A 15,233-nucleotide genomic window follows, 5' to 3' on the forward strand; every position below is an offset into this window, starting at 1 on the left:
TTTTGTTTAATTAGGTCCCAGCTATTTATCATTGTTTTTATTGCATTTGCTTTTGGGTTCTTGGTCATGAAAACCTTGCCTAAGCCAATGTCTGGAAGGGTTTTACCAACGTTATCTTCTAGAATTTTTATAGTTTCACATCTTAGGCTTAAGTCCTTAATCCACCTTGAGTTGACTTTTGTATAATGTGAGAGATGAGGATCTAGTTTCATTCTCCTACATGTGGCTAGCCAATTATCCCAGCATCATTTGTGGAAAAGGGTGTCTTTTCCCACTTTATGTTTTTGTTTGCTTTGTCAAAGATTAGTTGGCTATAAGTATTTGGGTTTAATTCTGGGTTCCCTATTCTGTTCCATTGGTCTATGTGCCTATTTTTATACCAGTACCACACTGTTTTGCTGACTATGGCCTAATAGTACAGTTTGAAATCAGGTAGTGTGACGCCTCCAGATTTGTCCTTCTTGCTTAATCTTGCTTTGGCTATGCAGGTTATTTTTTGGTTCCATATGAATTTTAGAATTGTTTTCTCTAACTCTGTGAAGAAGGATGGTGGTATTTTGATGGGGATGTGTTGCATTTGTAGATTGCTTTTGACAGTATGGTCATTTTCACAATGTTGGTTCTACCCATCCATGAGCGTGGGATGTGTTTCCATTTGTTTGTGTCATCTATGATTTCTTTCAGCATTGTTTTGTAGTTTTCCTTGTAGAAGTCTTTTGATTCTTTTGTTAGGTATATTCCTAAGTATTTTATAGCTTTTGCAGCTATTGTAAGAAGGGGTTGAGTTCTTAATTTGATTCTCCACTTGGTCACTGTTGGTATATAGAAGAGCTACTGATTTGTGTACATTAAACTTGTATCCAGAAACTTTGCTGAATTCTTTTATCAGTTCTAGGAGCTTTCTGGAGGAGTCCTTAGGGTTTTCAAGGTAAACGATTATATTGTCAGCAAACAGGGACAGTTTGACTTCCTCTTTACCAATTTGGATGGCCTTTATTTCTTTCCCTTGTCTGATTTCTCTTGCTAGGACTTCCAGTACTATATTGAAGAGGAGTGGTGAGCGTGGGCATCCCTGTCTTGTTCCCGTTCTCAGAGGTAATGCTTTCAACTTTTCCCCATTCAGTATTATGTTGGCTGTGCGTCTGTCATAGATGGCTTTTATTACATTAAAGTGTGTCCCTTGTATGCCGATTTTGCTGAGAGTTTTAATCATAAAGGGATGCTGGATTTTGTCTAATGCTTTTTCACCAATTATTCTTATGTTTGGTCGTTTAACATAATCCCAAACTTCTTGGAGTCTTTGTTCATATTTTCTTATTCTTTTTTCTTTGTCATTGTTGGATTGGGTTAATTTGAAGGCCTTTTCTTCAAGCTCTGAATTTCTTTCTTCTACTTGTTCAATTCTATTGTTGAGAGTTTCCAGAGCATTTTGCATTTCTAAAAGTGTGTCCAAAGTTTCCTGAATTTTTGATAGTTTTTTCTTTAAGCTATCTATTTCCTTGAATATTTCTCCCTTCACTTCTTGCTTCATTTTTTGGATTGCCTTTCATTGAGCGTTTCCTTTCTCTGGTCCCCCCCGATTCACTTAATAACTAATCTCCTGACTTCTAATATTTTAGGAGCTTTGATTCTTGTTACTACGATGCTTTCTGGACAGGTGGAAGCTCCCACCAGCACAGTGTGAAAGTGAGATTTTGGTCACGTCGCTCTTGTTAACAGCATTTCTCCTTTGGGCCCTCATGCCTCTGGCTTTGAGTATGCGTACAGAGCACACAGCCAGCTCAGTCCAGCTAGTGTCAAGCAGGAAAGGAAAAGGAAGGCCCCTTTAAATAGGCAGTTTGTGCTATTTCCCCAAAGAGAAGGAACTCAGCAAAAGGCTGCAAACTGTCTTAGAAGGAAGAGGCTATCTGCTTGAAACAGCCAAGACCTTTAGCTCAAATCCATTAATCCTCTTTATTAAACCTGGGTCACCTCTGAGTCCCGGCAAATTAACCAGCATCTCCCCACTGCAAGTGAATCGAGAGACAGTGCACTGCACACTGCCTGTCAGTTTCACGGACCAGGGCACCAGGGTCAGAAGGCTTCCCAGGCTCCATCCTCTGCTTTTGTCAATTTAAAAGGGAACATCAGCTGCACTTGTATAAATTACAGGCCAGGCTGTGTGAGGGCCGGGGGCCAAGGCAGCATCTCTGCACCACCGGAGAGGAGAGGAGAGGGTGCCGGGCAAGCGGCGGTTGCTCCAAGGCTTCCCTTCATTCCAACACCTCTGAGTGTGTACAGGAGCTCTGAAGGGGTCCAGTTCAGAGTCCAGAGTGAGCCCAGGTCTCTCCCAGGAGCACCTCTCCTGGCTTCCCTGCGTTTTCTGCTTTACTCCCTTCCAAAGCTGGCAAGGAAGGCCTGAAATTCTACCTTTGCTGGGTCAAGACATGAAGTAGAGACAATGCCAGAGCCAAATGTGGAAGGGCCAGAGACAGAGGGAGACAGAAGAGGAGACAGAGAGACTGAGGCAGTGAAAGGACACAGACGAGACCCAGAAGAGTCAGAGAAAAGAGAGTCAGAACTAGAGCAATCCCAGGAAACCGGGCACAATATCGCGCAGGGCCCCTTCTCTCCAGCCTTCCTCGCACCATCTGGGCCTCCCAGGGCCTAAGACAACTGTACTTGAAAATATAGTGGGTCCTTCTCCCCACCCATCTGGCTAAAGCTTAACAGTTACTCAAAGAACAAGTGCGGTCTCAGCTGCAAGACAAATGTAGGCACATAGATGCAGGCCTTATTGGAACCAAAGTCCAGTAGCGTCGCACATCTGATTTTATGCTCCACTTAATAGGAAGGATATGAAAACCAGGGAGGTCCCAAAGGAGAACTGCAAAAAGGATTTAAGCATGAGAAATGAATCTTATAAAACAAGGCAGGCCAGAGGAGTGATCTGTGGTCACTTTAGATGTAAGAATAACAGCTACCATGGATGGAGTTATGGAACCCAACAGGCTCTAAGATGGAATGATGGCTTTATGTTTACAAGAACCCTGTGTGATATGTGGTAAGATTGTTACCACTGTACAGATGACTACAATGAGGCACATGAGGTTCTCCTACATGTTCAAGTCCACAAATCCCAAGCCTGGAAGCTACAGGGCCAGCGTTGGATCTTGACCTGGAACCACCATGGTATTTATGCCACTGCAGTCACTGAAGGACGGTGACACAATGCTCCCTGTCCACTGAGGACAAGCTGAAAAGCCGTCCAGCTCCCTCCAGAAGTCAACGTTTTTGCTGACCTGGCAGCAAACCAGCCCATATGGAAAGTGGAGAGTGAGGGAAAAAGTCTTGGGAACCAGGGATTTCGGGCGAGGGGCAGGCAGGGTCAGAGGAACTAGTGGGCATGAAAGCAAGTTTCCTTACACAACATCTCCATCGCATTCCCAATAGGAAAGAAAAATGGTGCCTAGCTTTGTTTAATATTTTCTCCTGCTATCCAAATAGTGTTAACATCTGTTACATTTCCAATCGGGAAACAAATACATGCATCAGTGTATATGCTAATGATCCCTGGCCTCCCCTCCTGTGGGGGAGAAATGGAACCTTAACCCCTTTGCCACCGTGCTCACTCTTCTGACCTTTCCTTGGTCCCAAGGGAAGCCCATGCTTTGAGATTTTGAGGCTCTTTGTGGGCTGCACTCGTAGTTCATCTCTACCCTGGAGGCAGACTCTCTGATGGATTTGGGAGAGAATATCTCACAGCCTGGAAGAAGGGTCACCCACCTGCTGCCTGGGAGTAGAAGAGGTTTGTTGGGGTTTTTTTTAAAATAATAATAATTGGAAAACCTTCCAGGAGATCAAAAACAAATGACCAACACCACCAGCAGAAAAATAAATATATATATATATATACACATATATATATGTGTGTGTATATATATATACACACATATATATGTGTATGTATATATATATACATACACATATATATATATATATTTTTTTTTTTTTTTGAAAGGGAGTCTCACTCTGTTGCCCAGGCTGGAGTGCAATGGTGAGATCTCGGCTCACTGCAACCTCCGCCCCCCGGGTTCAAGCAATTCTCCTGCCTCAGCCTCCCAAGTAGCTGGGATTACAGGCATGTGCCACCACACCCAGCTAATTTTTGTATTTTTAGTAGAGACGGGGTTTCACCATCTTGGCCAGGCTGGTCTTGAACTCCTGACCTCATGATCCATCCACCTCAGCCTCCCAAAGTGCTGGGTTTACAGGCGTGAGCCACCGCACCTGGCTAACTTTTTTAAATCAAAGGATTAATTCAATTCCAAACATCAAAGGAGAAATAGCAAAAATCACTATTTCCTCTCATCTCAGCACTAGCACACAGCATCTGTGAGCAGGAACCAGGAGCCGGACCTACCTCACTGAGACCCAGGTCAGTGGGGCTGTGTCTGCCACCCTGGCGTGAACAGTGGATGGATTAACTCCTGTCACCAAGAGAATCCTGGCTTCTGTCAGCTTCTCTCCAGGCCATTATGCTATTAAAAACAGAGGGTGTTTTGCATATTTAAATACTCCAATGTCATTTCACTGACATAATGCCTTCTCCTGGCACTGCGTATATTTCTCGAGTCTCCAGTGTCATGCCCTGGGCTGAGAGTAAGGCCAAGAGGGAAGCCTCGCTCCCTTCCCACCACCTCCCCTGCAGGGCTCCCATTAAGGGACCAGGAGACAAGGCGAGGTGCCCACTAGCCAGCTCCCATGGCAGCTCCTGCACGGGGAGAATTACCCGGCTCGAGTCCTCCTCCTGCATCTAGCCAATTTCTGCTCCCTTAATTCAAGTCAGTTCTTCCTGACCCCAGCAGGCTGGAGTTCCCAGAGTTACTCTCAACGGATAGCACCAATTACTGAGGTGTGAAAATAGAAACCTTCGAATTTTGAGAACAAACTCAGAGACTAGGACTTAACTGAACTGAGAAAGAAGGCAGGAAAGTAGAGAGGGAGGAGTCTGAGTAGGGAGGAGAGATGACTCCTTGCAATTAGGAAGCTTGCAGAGGGGGAGTGCACAGTACAGGGCTCCTGGGGAGGGCAGATGGGGGCGTGGGGCAGGAGGCTTGGAGCTGAGACAGTCCTAGCAGAAAAGAAAAAACAAAAACCTGTGGCAGCTCCAGCACCACTAGCCATTCTGCTGGGACAGAGAATGCTGGGGAGCTCCAATCTCCCCCTGCTCCCACCACCCACACTGTGCAGTGTTGTCTCCTTGCCCGTAATAAGGGATCACCGCAAACAGAACATGGAGACACACAAGCGCCAGATTCACCCGTCCAGCTTCTATACGCTGTCCACAGGCAACGCAAACTGTGTGCTCCCTCCAGGGATGACGTTCCCCTTCATTGGAGACTTCCTAGGGACCCCCCCACGGTACAGTGCGGCTAGTGAAATCCAAACACACGTCATGACCTAATCACACTGGCAAAATTAATTAATTATAGCCCTGGTTTATGCTTTCATGGTCAAAACCAATTAATTACATGTCCCTTTTATATTGGTCTGCCATCCCTTCCAAAACTTAAATGAAGTAGGTACCCAACAAACATTTGAAATAATATTTTAAATCAGATAACTGACTTCCTGAAAGCTCTTTTGTTATATGAGAAAAAGAAGACATAGTCCCATGGGGTTAACTCTGGGATCATACATCAAATAAAGCTACACCTTCCCCCACCCCAATTGGCTTGATAAGGAACTACTTGGGGGAAGTCAGTCCATCCCCTCTGCCTGCAGGTTACTGTGAGGGGAGCTGGCTTCATGGGGGAGTGCAGGGGCTTCAAACGACCTGAGCCAGGTAGTGACCAAGACCCCCCACCCCGCCCAGGGTGCACTGGCCATCTTCGACGTGAGTCACATAACCTCCTCCACAGGGCACTCCAGGCCTCTGAGCAGCTCTCCCTCCTCACCAGTCCGGGCTCCTCACTTCTGCCCCTCCCTCCCCTCCGTCCTAATCCAGCAGCCTTTCTGCCCACCAACATGCCTCGAGGCTGTGCTCATTCCTGCCTTTCCCTCCTTCAAAGCATCTCCTCCACAGCCGCCCCTTCCACGACCGCTGCTGCCTCCTACCCATTCCCCCACCCAGCCATTCCTCTCACCCCCCTTTCCTTCCATGGTTCACCCTCCCACAGTCCTCCAATGCCCAAAGTGCATCTCTGACTGTGGAGGACAAGTCAGCCTTTGGCAGAAGCGTGGCAGAAAAGAAGCTGGCACAACTTTGCCCCGAGAGACCTGGTGCCCAGACTTGAGCCCTGTCTCAACAGCTGACTGAGGAGCACCACGTGAACTCTGGTATGCTCTCCTCAGGTGTGTGTTCTCTACAAAGTGAGAAATGACGCCATACAGCAGCGGCTTAGAGCCCACCCCCTCTCCTGCCCCCACCCTGCAAAAGGGACAGACAGAGGCAGGGTGGCAGGGTGGCTGGCCAGTGGCCGAGGCAGGGTGACGCAGTCCATGCTGTTCTCGTACACCCCAGCGTCCTCGTCCAAACCGGCTGACAAGCTCCCTGGGAAAGGAGGAGGGGCCGCTCCCTCGCCCCAACTGGAGCAGTGCTGAGGTCATGACCAGAGCTGGAGTGAGCTGGGTGGAGGGACGCTCTGAGTGGGATGTGGCATGAATCCACAGGCAGAGCCTCTAAACATATACCTGTACAGGAAAAAAGAAACCAAATATTTCTTCTCCCTTCCAAGGCTCAACTAAATGATCACGATTTTCAGGGAAGAAAGGAATCTGAGAATGTTGTAGCCAGATCCTTTGATTTTCAGTCCAAGTCCTCAGGTACCACAGTTCTGGGCCACTTGCTTCCTAGCCTGGGGACAGGTCCCACTATTCTGCTTCTCAGGAGATGTGTGCCGTTGCCTATGTTTAAATGTGTGGCCAGAATTCCTGAGATGGTAATGGCAACACTTGAGCCCCTCACCTATGACAGAAGAAGGCCTTCTGGATGGGACTGAGGAGGGCCAGCCATCCTGGTTTTCCTGGGACTGAGAGCTCTCAGGATACAGGGCTTTCAGTTTTAAAATCAGGACAGTTCCCAGCTAAGTTGTTCAGTACAAGATGCACAGCCTAGCCTGAACTAAACTTCCCTTCTCCTTATTAATATTGATGGGGCAGGAATGCCACAATTTGAAAGGACACAGGGGATTTGAGGGCTGGGAATGCAAAAAGGATCTATATTCTAAGCTCCGTGATGGTTTTCTCACGTCCTTTTTGCATAAAGAAAGTGAGTTTCAGAAAAATGTGCTGGCCTAGAAGTCACCTTTAAGTAGCAGAGTTAGGTTTGAAACTCAGATCTGTGGGATCCCTAAACTCATGTTGTTTCCCTGGCCCTATGAGCTCTGTGGAACCATCACTACCTTACAGCCCCCAAACCCAGCATCATAATACAAGGCAAAGGCTGCCTTTGAGAAGATTTAGAAACATGCAGGGTCAGCGGAGTTTAAACTCAGCTGGTCAACAACCCCTCCCTCACCCTCTGTGTTGTGGCCACAGCTCCTCCAAGCCCAGCTGTAAATCCTGCTAGTCTGTAAACAGCCAAACGCAGCTCCTCCATTGCTTAGCAGCTTTTGACACTAATTGCTCTACAGAGTGTGTGCAACTGGCAACACCTTATTAAAAGTGAAATATATGATACTGTCCACTTATTGCTGCTTTATAGAGATAAAGTATTCTTACTACATGGAAAAGCTGGCAACAAGTTTGATAAAGTGGTTTCTAAAGAGAAGCCTGCACGAGGCAATTCCTGGGACATGGGATCTATCCGGGTCAGGCTGGGAGCTTTCCCAGTTTGACCTAAAGATTTTACCACACCAAGAATCCCTCCCTTTCGCCACTCTGACTTCTATCTCAAAGATGAGCCTCTTCAAAGCCTGGGCACTGAAGAAAAGACAAACATGACTGCTCTCAGAGCTGGGAAAGCAGACCTGGCCCCATCTGCAGAGTCAATCCATCCTCTTCCTCCCGAGGACTAAGCAGGGTGCAGAGGAGATGGACAGCCAGAAGTGTGGGCAGGGAAGGCGGGAGGAGGAGGAAAGGCAAGACAAGGACAAGAGAGCTCCAGATTCAGACAAGCACGGGCCAAGACGGGCTTCCTGAGGAAGACTCTACTAGCCCCAGGTCCCACATTCTCAAAGGAAATCAAAATCAGCACTCTGCGGAGACTTGCTGTATCCTCCACCATCAGAGAACTCATCTGCCACCTAACCTCAGGGAAGTCACTATCTGGGGCTCTGTAATGCAAGGCAGACCTGTCCTGAAAAGAAACTAGATTAAGCTCCTCAATCCAAATCCCCTAAAACACTTTCACGGAGAACCCCCAAATCCAAGGTTGCCTGACATCTCATATGGTTTGCAAGCTAAGAAATACTTTTTGCATTTTTAAGAGTTTTGAAAAGAAGAAGAATTTGAGATAGAGACTGGATGAGGTTCACAAAGTCTAAAATAGTTTCTGTCTGACCCTTCACAAAATACATTTGCTGACCCTGTCTTCAAGGAAAGAATTAGAAAGCCAGAGAAAGAAGACTGCAGACAGGAGCAGAGGAAGCCCCTGGCATGATGGAAGGACAGAGATGGATACAGAAATGCCATCAGTAAAAGACTGCCCCGCTTCCATAACAGACTTTTGTGAGTGCTGAGATCTGATTAATTGTGCCAACCGCACCTACTGGACAGAGCCAGCCACGGGAGCCCCCAGCTTTGTTGCGGCGATGTTTTTCTGCTGATCTTCATCCATGCCAGCATTGAGAAGCCGTCAAATGGGACTGGGTGGCCCCAGGAGCTAGCAGATAACAAGGGAGATGAAATGACGAAGAGAGGAACCATTGTCCCTGCTAGGTTTTGTGTTTCTGAGATACCAAATTGCCTGATCGCTTTGACATTTTCAAGACCAAATTAAAATGCGCCACCATGGAGACAAAATGTCATTAGCCTCATTATAAGTGATTGTGTTAAAATAAATACAAAAATAAAGTGGGAATTAGTCCAAACCATTAAAATACAGAAGCAAAAATGGCCAACAGGGACTTTACATGTGACAGACTAAGAAAGGTTGAGACACCCCCTAAGGGGACAGGGAAGATGAATGTAGCAGGCACAGGGGCTGAGCAGCAGGCTTTCGGGCCATGCAGAGGTCAGCACTGAGGCGATCGCAGGCTCTCCGGGTGCCTCACACCACATGACCTTAGGGAAGGACCCTCGACCTCATCAAACCCCGGAATTCCCTCTCTAGGAAAATAGGAACGTAACACCATCTTTTTCAAGTATCTGTTAATAGTTTCAGTGCTTATTGGGAAGGGATTAAGACCTGGCCTTTTGAGATGGATACTGTCTTGGAGCTGGCACTGGAGAGAAGGGGGCCGGAGGCCTCCTGGGCAGGGACAAGGGGACCTCACAGGGCCAGCTCCTGGTTTTCTTCAAAAGGTGAGCCTGGCTACCAGGCAGACTCTCCATGGGGAGAAAGCCCAGGGGGAACACAGAACCCAGGCTGTTCTGACGGCTGAGTCTGGCTGAAGCTCAGCACCTGCTCGGGAACCTCCTACCACCAAATGCACCTGTCTTCCTCCTCCCTCAATCTGCTTCCTCTTCTCTGCTTCACTCCTCCTGACCCTTCACTGTTTCTCTCCCCCACACCATCTTCCACTGACACCTCAGACTTCATCCCAGAAACCTGGTCTCAGCCTCACATTTTCCATCTACTCAGTTTCTCTTTGTCACCCATAGACATTGGCCTCCAGTGCCCCTGTCTTATAATCGTTAACCATAAATAAGCAATGAGGTGAACTGATGCCTCCCAAAAGGAAGAGAACAAAGTTTTTCTCTTGCCTCCTTAGAAAGAGGACATGAATTATAACTATCACCGCTTCCTTCCTCTCTGCCTCCATGAAGGCCACATGAAGCCTTCCCTGCTAGGAGTAATGACTGAATATGCAAGTTCTGTTTCCACACTCCCGGCCGACCTTCCTCATCAGTCATAGGTTTCTTTTCCAAATGAGCTGAGGACTAGGACCTATTGGTTAGAAGTTCGCACCATTTTCTTCCCCTTGAGATTAAGGATTGTGGTTTTCACCATGCACAAAATAAGCCTCTCTAATAAGTATCAACCAACCCAGCTGGAAGCACAATGTTAGAATAATAATGTCTTACATTAGCAAGATATTTCTTCCTATTTTCTAAATGTCCCTCTCCATCAGTAGCACCTGGACCCACACATTCTGTAGTGTGACAAAGGTAGGTATTTTCATTCCTTCCCAACGTTTAAAATAATGGAGGCCCCTGGAAAGAAAGTGTCTTGTCCCAGGTCCCACAGTAAAGAGGAACTGAAAGCCACAGGCCTTAACCCTACATTCAGTCAAAATTCTTGAATTACTTTTTCTGCATTTTAAAGAGTAGAACAAAGAACTCCCCAGAGCCCTGAGAGGGTTACTTCCCTAGTGCCTGCAAATGGCTTGGCACATAAAAAGCACCTCCAAAATGCTCAGGGGTAATGAGCGCGGGGGCTCAGAGGGCTTTGCTGACATGAGCTCACTAATCCCCAAAAGCTTCCAGCACAATATGTGGCAGGAGATGGTCTCTCCATCTTTGCCTCTGCTCCTCTACCTGCTCTGGCGTTGTGATCCCTCAGGAAATCTGTGAATGGATTAGCAACACTATTTTATTATTATTTCAAATAAGCCTGAGACAAGGATCCTGGGAGAACAGTGTGGGAACACTGGCCGGCAGAAGAAACAATGAGGTGGCTCTAATCATCCCTGATAAAATCAGTGGAAGCAGTGGCTGCAGGAAACAGTGCATGGTATTGTCCTAGCCACATAAGCAGAAAAGTGTTACCCTGGTACCCCAGACAGAATGGTTACTGTTTAATCAGCATACGCCACTGCCCATGTGCTGTCCTGGGGCAGAAGGCAGGAGAACGCACTCGGTGCACGCCTTCAAAGCTGGCCCTGTGCAGGTTCGGGATGGCTGCCTGCCTCTGCACTAGACCACAGTTTTCCATTTGAATCTGTGGTTCCCACAGTGCCCCCACTCATCCACTTTCTTTCTTCCAAACCCAACAGGCATCTGACTGCTCTGATATATTTTTTATCCCTGCATGTGGGTCTTTCCCCCACTTCCCATTTTCATCCTGTGACTGCTGATTTTAAAGTGTGTCTATTTCTCCCTTGCTCCATAAATGAGGATCAAAACAGAGAAGACCGTTATCCACTGCCCGCTAGCCCAGCCTGAGGGCCTGAGGACCAAGAGACCCTGTGGACTGGGCTAAGTCTTCGTGAAGAGGGCCCCAGCAAAGCCTGATACTGGACTGAGAAGACACAGCTTCAAAGGGGAGAACTCCAGCTCAGCACCTCCCTCTGTGGAGCAGGAGGATGGGACACAGTGCTGAAATGGGTGCAGCCCCAGGCTCCAAGGCAGTGGGCTGGCTGCAATCAATCCCCATTTTCAAAGTGCTCATTCGAACTATGAAACATCAGCGCAGGCAGCACCTCAGGGGGTCATCTACTGCAGTCTTCTTTTGTAGAGAGGAAATTGGGGCTGAGAAAGTCCAGTGGCCACACAGCCAGTGATGCTTGCAAGAACAGAGTTGAGGGGAGCTGATTCCTAGGGCTCCTCTCACCAGGTCGTAAGCACTGACTCTGGGAACTAGAGATGATTCCTGTCCTCAAGTTAACTTTCTGATTATGGCGACAACAATGTAAAGACAGTTGTAGAAGTGGCCACTGAGAGAATAAATCCTTAAAATCTCAGGCTGGGCACAGTGGCTCACGCTTGTAATCCCAGCACTTTGGGAGGCCGAGGCGGGCGGACCACCTGAGGTCAGGAGTGCAATACCAGCCTGGCCAACATGGTGAAACCCCATATCTACTACAAAATTACAAAAGTTAGCCAGGCGTGGTGACGGGCCCCTGTAATCCCAGCTACTTGGGAGGCTGAGGCAGAAGAATCACTTTAACCCGGGAGGCAGAGGTTGCAGTGAGCTGAGATCACACCACTGCACTCCAGACTGGGTGACAGAGTGAAAGTATGTCTCAAAAAAAAAAAAAAAAATCTCAAATGACTCAGAGCCAATAATGCAAGCTGTAAGATCGTTTTCCCCAACACTAGATATTAGGATTACCAGGGAAGCTTTTCAAAAATATTAATATCTGATTTCCTACCCGGATCAACTACATCAGAATTCAGGGAAGCAGGGCCTGAGTGTCGTGGTTGTTTGTAAGCTTCCCCAGGTTGTCCTGATATGCAGCCCAGGTTGAGAGCCATTGCTCTGGGAGGTAGCAGAGAAAGAGTTTTTACTGTGTACAGTGGCCAGGAAAGGCTACTTGGAAGAAAATGTGCTTGGGCTGGGTTTGGGTACAAATCAGAGGAAGGTTATAGGCCTGGGTGCAGCCCAGGATTCTTCATTTCCATACTGCTGGTCTAGGAACCACATTTTGAGTGAAAAGACTAAGGACAAGAACCACTGGATGTCAATGTCTTCTTTCTCTGAGCCTTTATTTGCACTTTCTATGTAATGATCCAGGGTGGTTTCTGCCCTCAGTTTCCCAAATGGAGCAAGTTAGGCAGTTTTAGTGAGGGCCCCATGCCCTTGAAGAGGGACCTCTGCAAGCTCAGCAGCCATGGCCCTGGCTGACCTGCCTCCACACTGCAAGTCCAGCCCACAGGAATCATCTGGGCTGCCGCAGGCAATGCTCCCTCTGGCCTCATAAGGAACTGGCCCGAGCCTCCCAATCACTTGGAGGAGTGGGAAGAATGCAAGTAATTGTGAAAGGATCTGCCAAACGTCTTCTGCCCCGTGACTTTACACCACAGATCACATCTGCCTGTGTCAGCAGCCTTGTCCCTCCACGCCGGATGCAGCTGGGTGCGCACCAAACAGCAAGGAAAGCGCTGAAAACGACTCGAGTCAAGAATGAACACTTGCTGTGCCTCACCTCTTGCTCGGCTTGCCCCAGCACCTTCCAGACAAGAGGACGGGACAGAGCGACAGGGCCTGTGCTTCCCAACGTGCCACTCCTAACTTATGCTCAACCCTTTCTCTTTTTTTGATATATATAAGTTCGTTTTTTTTTTTAAATTTAAATTACTACCATTTATTGAGTGCCTATGTGTCAGGCACAGTGCTGAAGCACTGTATTAATCTCCACAGCAATCTTTTTAAATTTTATGTTCTGGGATACATGTGCAGGACGTGCAGGTTTGTTACATTGGTAAACGTGTATCATGGTGGTTTGCTGCACCTATCAATCCATCACCTAGGTATTAAGGCCCGGATGCATTAGCTATTTATCCTGATGCTCTCCCTCAACCCCCGTCCCACTGACAGGCCCCATTCTGTGATGTTCGCCTCCCTGTGTCCATATGTTCTCATTATTCAGCTTCCACTTGTAAGTGAGAACATGTGGTGTTTGGTTTTCTGTTCCAGTGTTAGTTTGCTGAGGATAATGGCTTCCAGCTTCTTCCATATTCCTGCAAAGGACATGATCTCATTCCACTTCGTGGCTACATAGTATTCCACGGGGTATATGTATCACATTTTCTTTATCCACTCTATCATTGATGGGCATTTGGGTTTATTCCATGTCTTTGCTAGTAAGCTCAGCCCTTCTGCAACTTGGCGGTGGTGGCAATGCTGTTCCATACTCACTCTGAGATTGTCTTGAAAATCCTCTCACACTTCCTATGACAACTCTCAATCAACCTTCTCCCACAGTTCTAAGTCGGGAGCTCCAATCTCATTTCTGGGCAGAAACACTAAGTTCCAGAGAGGTTAACCAAGCTGCCCGAGGTCATACGGGTTGTTAGAAGGCATTGGCTTCTCTCCTCTCTAGCTAACCTGCTTAGGTAGCTGTTTCTGTTAGGTGGATCACTCATTTACTCTATGAGTACTCACTGAGTACCCTTTCTATGTAAGTCTCCATTTACTCCACGAGTTCTCATTGATTACTCTTCCTTTGTGAGGCACCACCTCTGGGGTGTCTCTTCTTAAAGGCTTTGGGGGTCCTACCTCATGCCCACATCCACTCCCCTCACCAGGCACATTACCCTAACCTTGGTGGTGCTCTGACTACTGGAAAAGTAGTGAGGCCATGTGGGGAAGTCTTTAAGTGGAGAGTTCTGCTACAGGCTTGCTTACCATCTGACACTCCTAACACTGCAGGTGTGCGTCTCTACAGTCACCCAGCCTGTTCTGAGCTGGCCCTGGTAGGGAGTGCACTTCCTGACACACAAGTTTGAGCAGCCAATGAGCAGTGCCCAGGCTGCCCCTGGACCACCCAGGAGGCCCCTTGATTCAAGTCTCGCCATCACAGGCTGAGAAGAGCTGCTATCAGATTTTCAGAATACCATTTCTTTTGTATGCTACAGAGTAAACTTCCTGCAAGATGGAAGAGGGTATAGGGGAAAGTGCACTGCCCAGAAGTAATTAGAGCTCATTTCTGTACCTGATTCTGCCACAAGTTGCTGTGTGAGCCTGATTAAATCAGTTTACTTCCACACCCCAAGCCTTCTCATTTGTGATTCAAGCTGTTTGTCTTAAATGGTCTTAAGGTTCCTTATGATGCAAATCGTTTGTGGGCATAGAATTAGCTTCCCCCTCTCTTGGGCTTTTCTTCATGCCCCAGCACTAAATACTTAAGGGACTGATATAAATGGAATCTGTACTTTAATAGCACTGCCTTTGTTCCTTTAATTGTGTCCTGCAGTGATTTAGGATAGCATGTGGTCAAGACCTTTGTGCCAACATAAAGCCTGCAAGCCAAGCAAGGTTGTTACCTTGACCCATTTACTACCTGACCTACACGTTACCATGGATGAACTCGTCATGCCTCCATGTAATCATCTCCCTCACCTCTTTTAGTTGAAGTTCCCCAGAGCTGCATGTTGGACTCTCTTCTCTTCCCTTTCTGCATTCCTCTTCTGGTGATCACATGCAGCTTTGCAGCTTTACATGTCATTGATATGCCAGCCACATACACACACACACACACGCACACACACACACACACACTCCAATCTCATTACAAATCCAACTGCCTACTCAACATGCCCCATAGCCATTTCAAGTTCAACACATCCAAAGGAAACTCCTGATCCCTCCCTAAAGCCCTGTTCCACCAATAGAACTCCATTGCGATTGGTGTCAACTTTATCCTTCCAATTGTACGGATCAAAGAATTTGGAGTCCTCCGTGAATCCACTCTCTCTCACCTGAT

At 47.4% G+C, this 15,233-nt stretch overlaps 1 protein-coding gene across 3 annotated transcripts in view, besides 5 other annotated features; it reads right to left on the bottom strand.

Moving 5' to 3' along the window:
- Nucleotides 1–15,233, bottom strand: part of OPCML (opioid binding protein/cell adhesion molecule like) — a 1,117,521-nt gene that overhangs the window by 1,080,914 nt on the left and 21,374 nt on the right. The gene's annotated exons all lie outside the window — the stretch shown is intronic.
- Nucleotides 1,623–2,123: an enhancer, noted in NCBI's record as "H3K27ac hESC enhancer chr11:133367412-133367912 (GRCh37/hg19 assembly coordinates)". NCBI's record gives its function as "activates a minimal SCP1, AML or CMV promoter by ChIP-STARR-seq in primed H9 embryonic stem cells {active_cell/tissue: H9 hESC(primed)}" and the evidence as "EXISTENCE:reporter gene assay evidence [ECO:0000049][PMID:30033119]".
- Nucleotides 2,124–2,624: an enhancer, noted in NCBI's record as "H3K27ac hESC enhancer chr11:133367913-133368413 (GRCh37/hg19 assembly coordinates)". NCBI's record gives its function as "activates a minimal SCP1, AML or CMV promoter by ChIP-STARR-seq in primed H9 embryonic stem cells {active_cell/tissue: H9 hESC(primed)}" and the evidence as "EXISTENCE:reporter gene assay evidence [ECO:0000049][PMID:30033119]".
- Nucleotides 10,432–10,481: a silencer, noted in NCBI's record as "silent region_4087". NCBI's record gives its function as "represses an Ori minimal core promoter by ATAC-STARR-seq in GM12878 lymphoblastoid cells {active_cell/tissue: GM12878}" and the evidence as "EXISTENCE:reporter gene assay evidence [ECO:0000049][PMID:35858748]".
- Nucleotides 12,782–13,281: an enhancer, noted in NCBI's record as "H3K4me1 hESC enhancer chr11:133378571-133379070 (GRCh37/hg19 assembly coordinates)". NCBI's record gives its function as "activates a minimal SCP1, AML or CMV promoter by ChIP-STARR-seq in naive H9 embryonic stem cells {active_cell/tissue: H9 hESC(naive)}" and the evidence as "EXISTENCE:reporter gene assay evidence [ECO:0000049][PMID:30033119]".
- Nucleotides 14,211–15,110: an enhancer, noted in NCBI's record as "OCT4-NANOG hESC enhancer chr11:133380000-133380899 (GRCh37/hg19 assembly coordinates)". NCBI's record gives its function as "activates a minimal SCP1, AML or CMV promoter by ChIP-STARR-seq in primed H9 embryonic stem cells {active_cell/tissue: H9 hESC(primed)}" and the evidence as "EXISTENCE:reporter gene assay evidence [ECO:0000049][PMID:30033119]".

The sequence above is a fragment of the Homo sapiens genome, chromosome 11, assembly GCF_000001405.40.
Source record: "Homo sapiens chromosome 11, GRCh38.p14 Primary Assembly".
Classification (NCBI taxonomy): domain Eukaryota; kingdom Metazoa; phylum Chordata; class Mammalia; order Primates; family Hominidae; genus Homo; species Homo sapiens.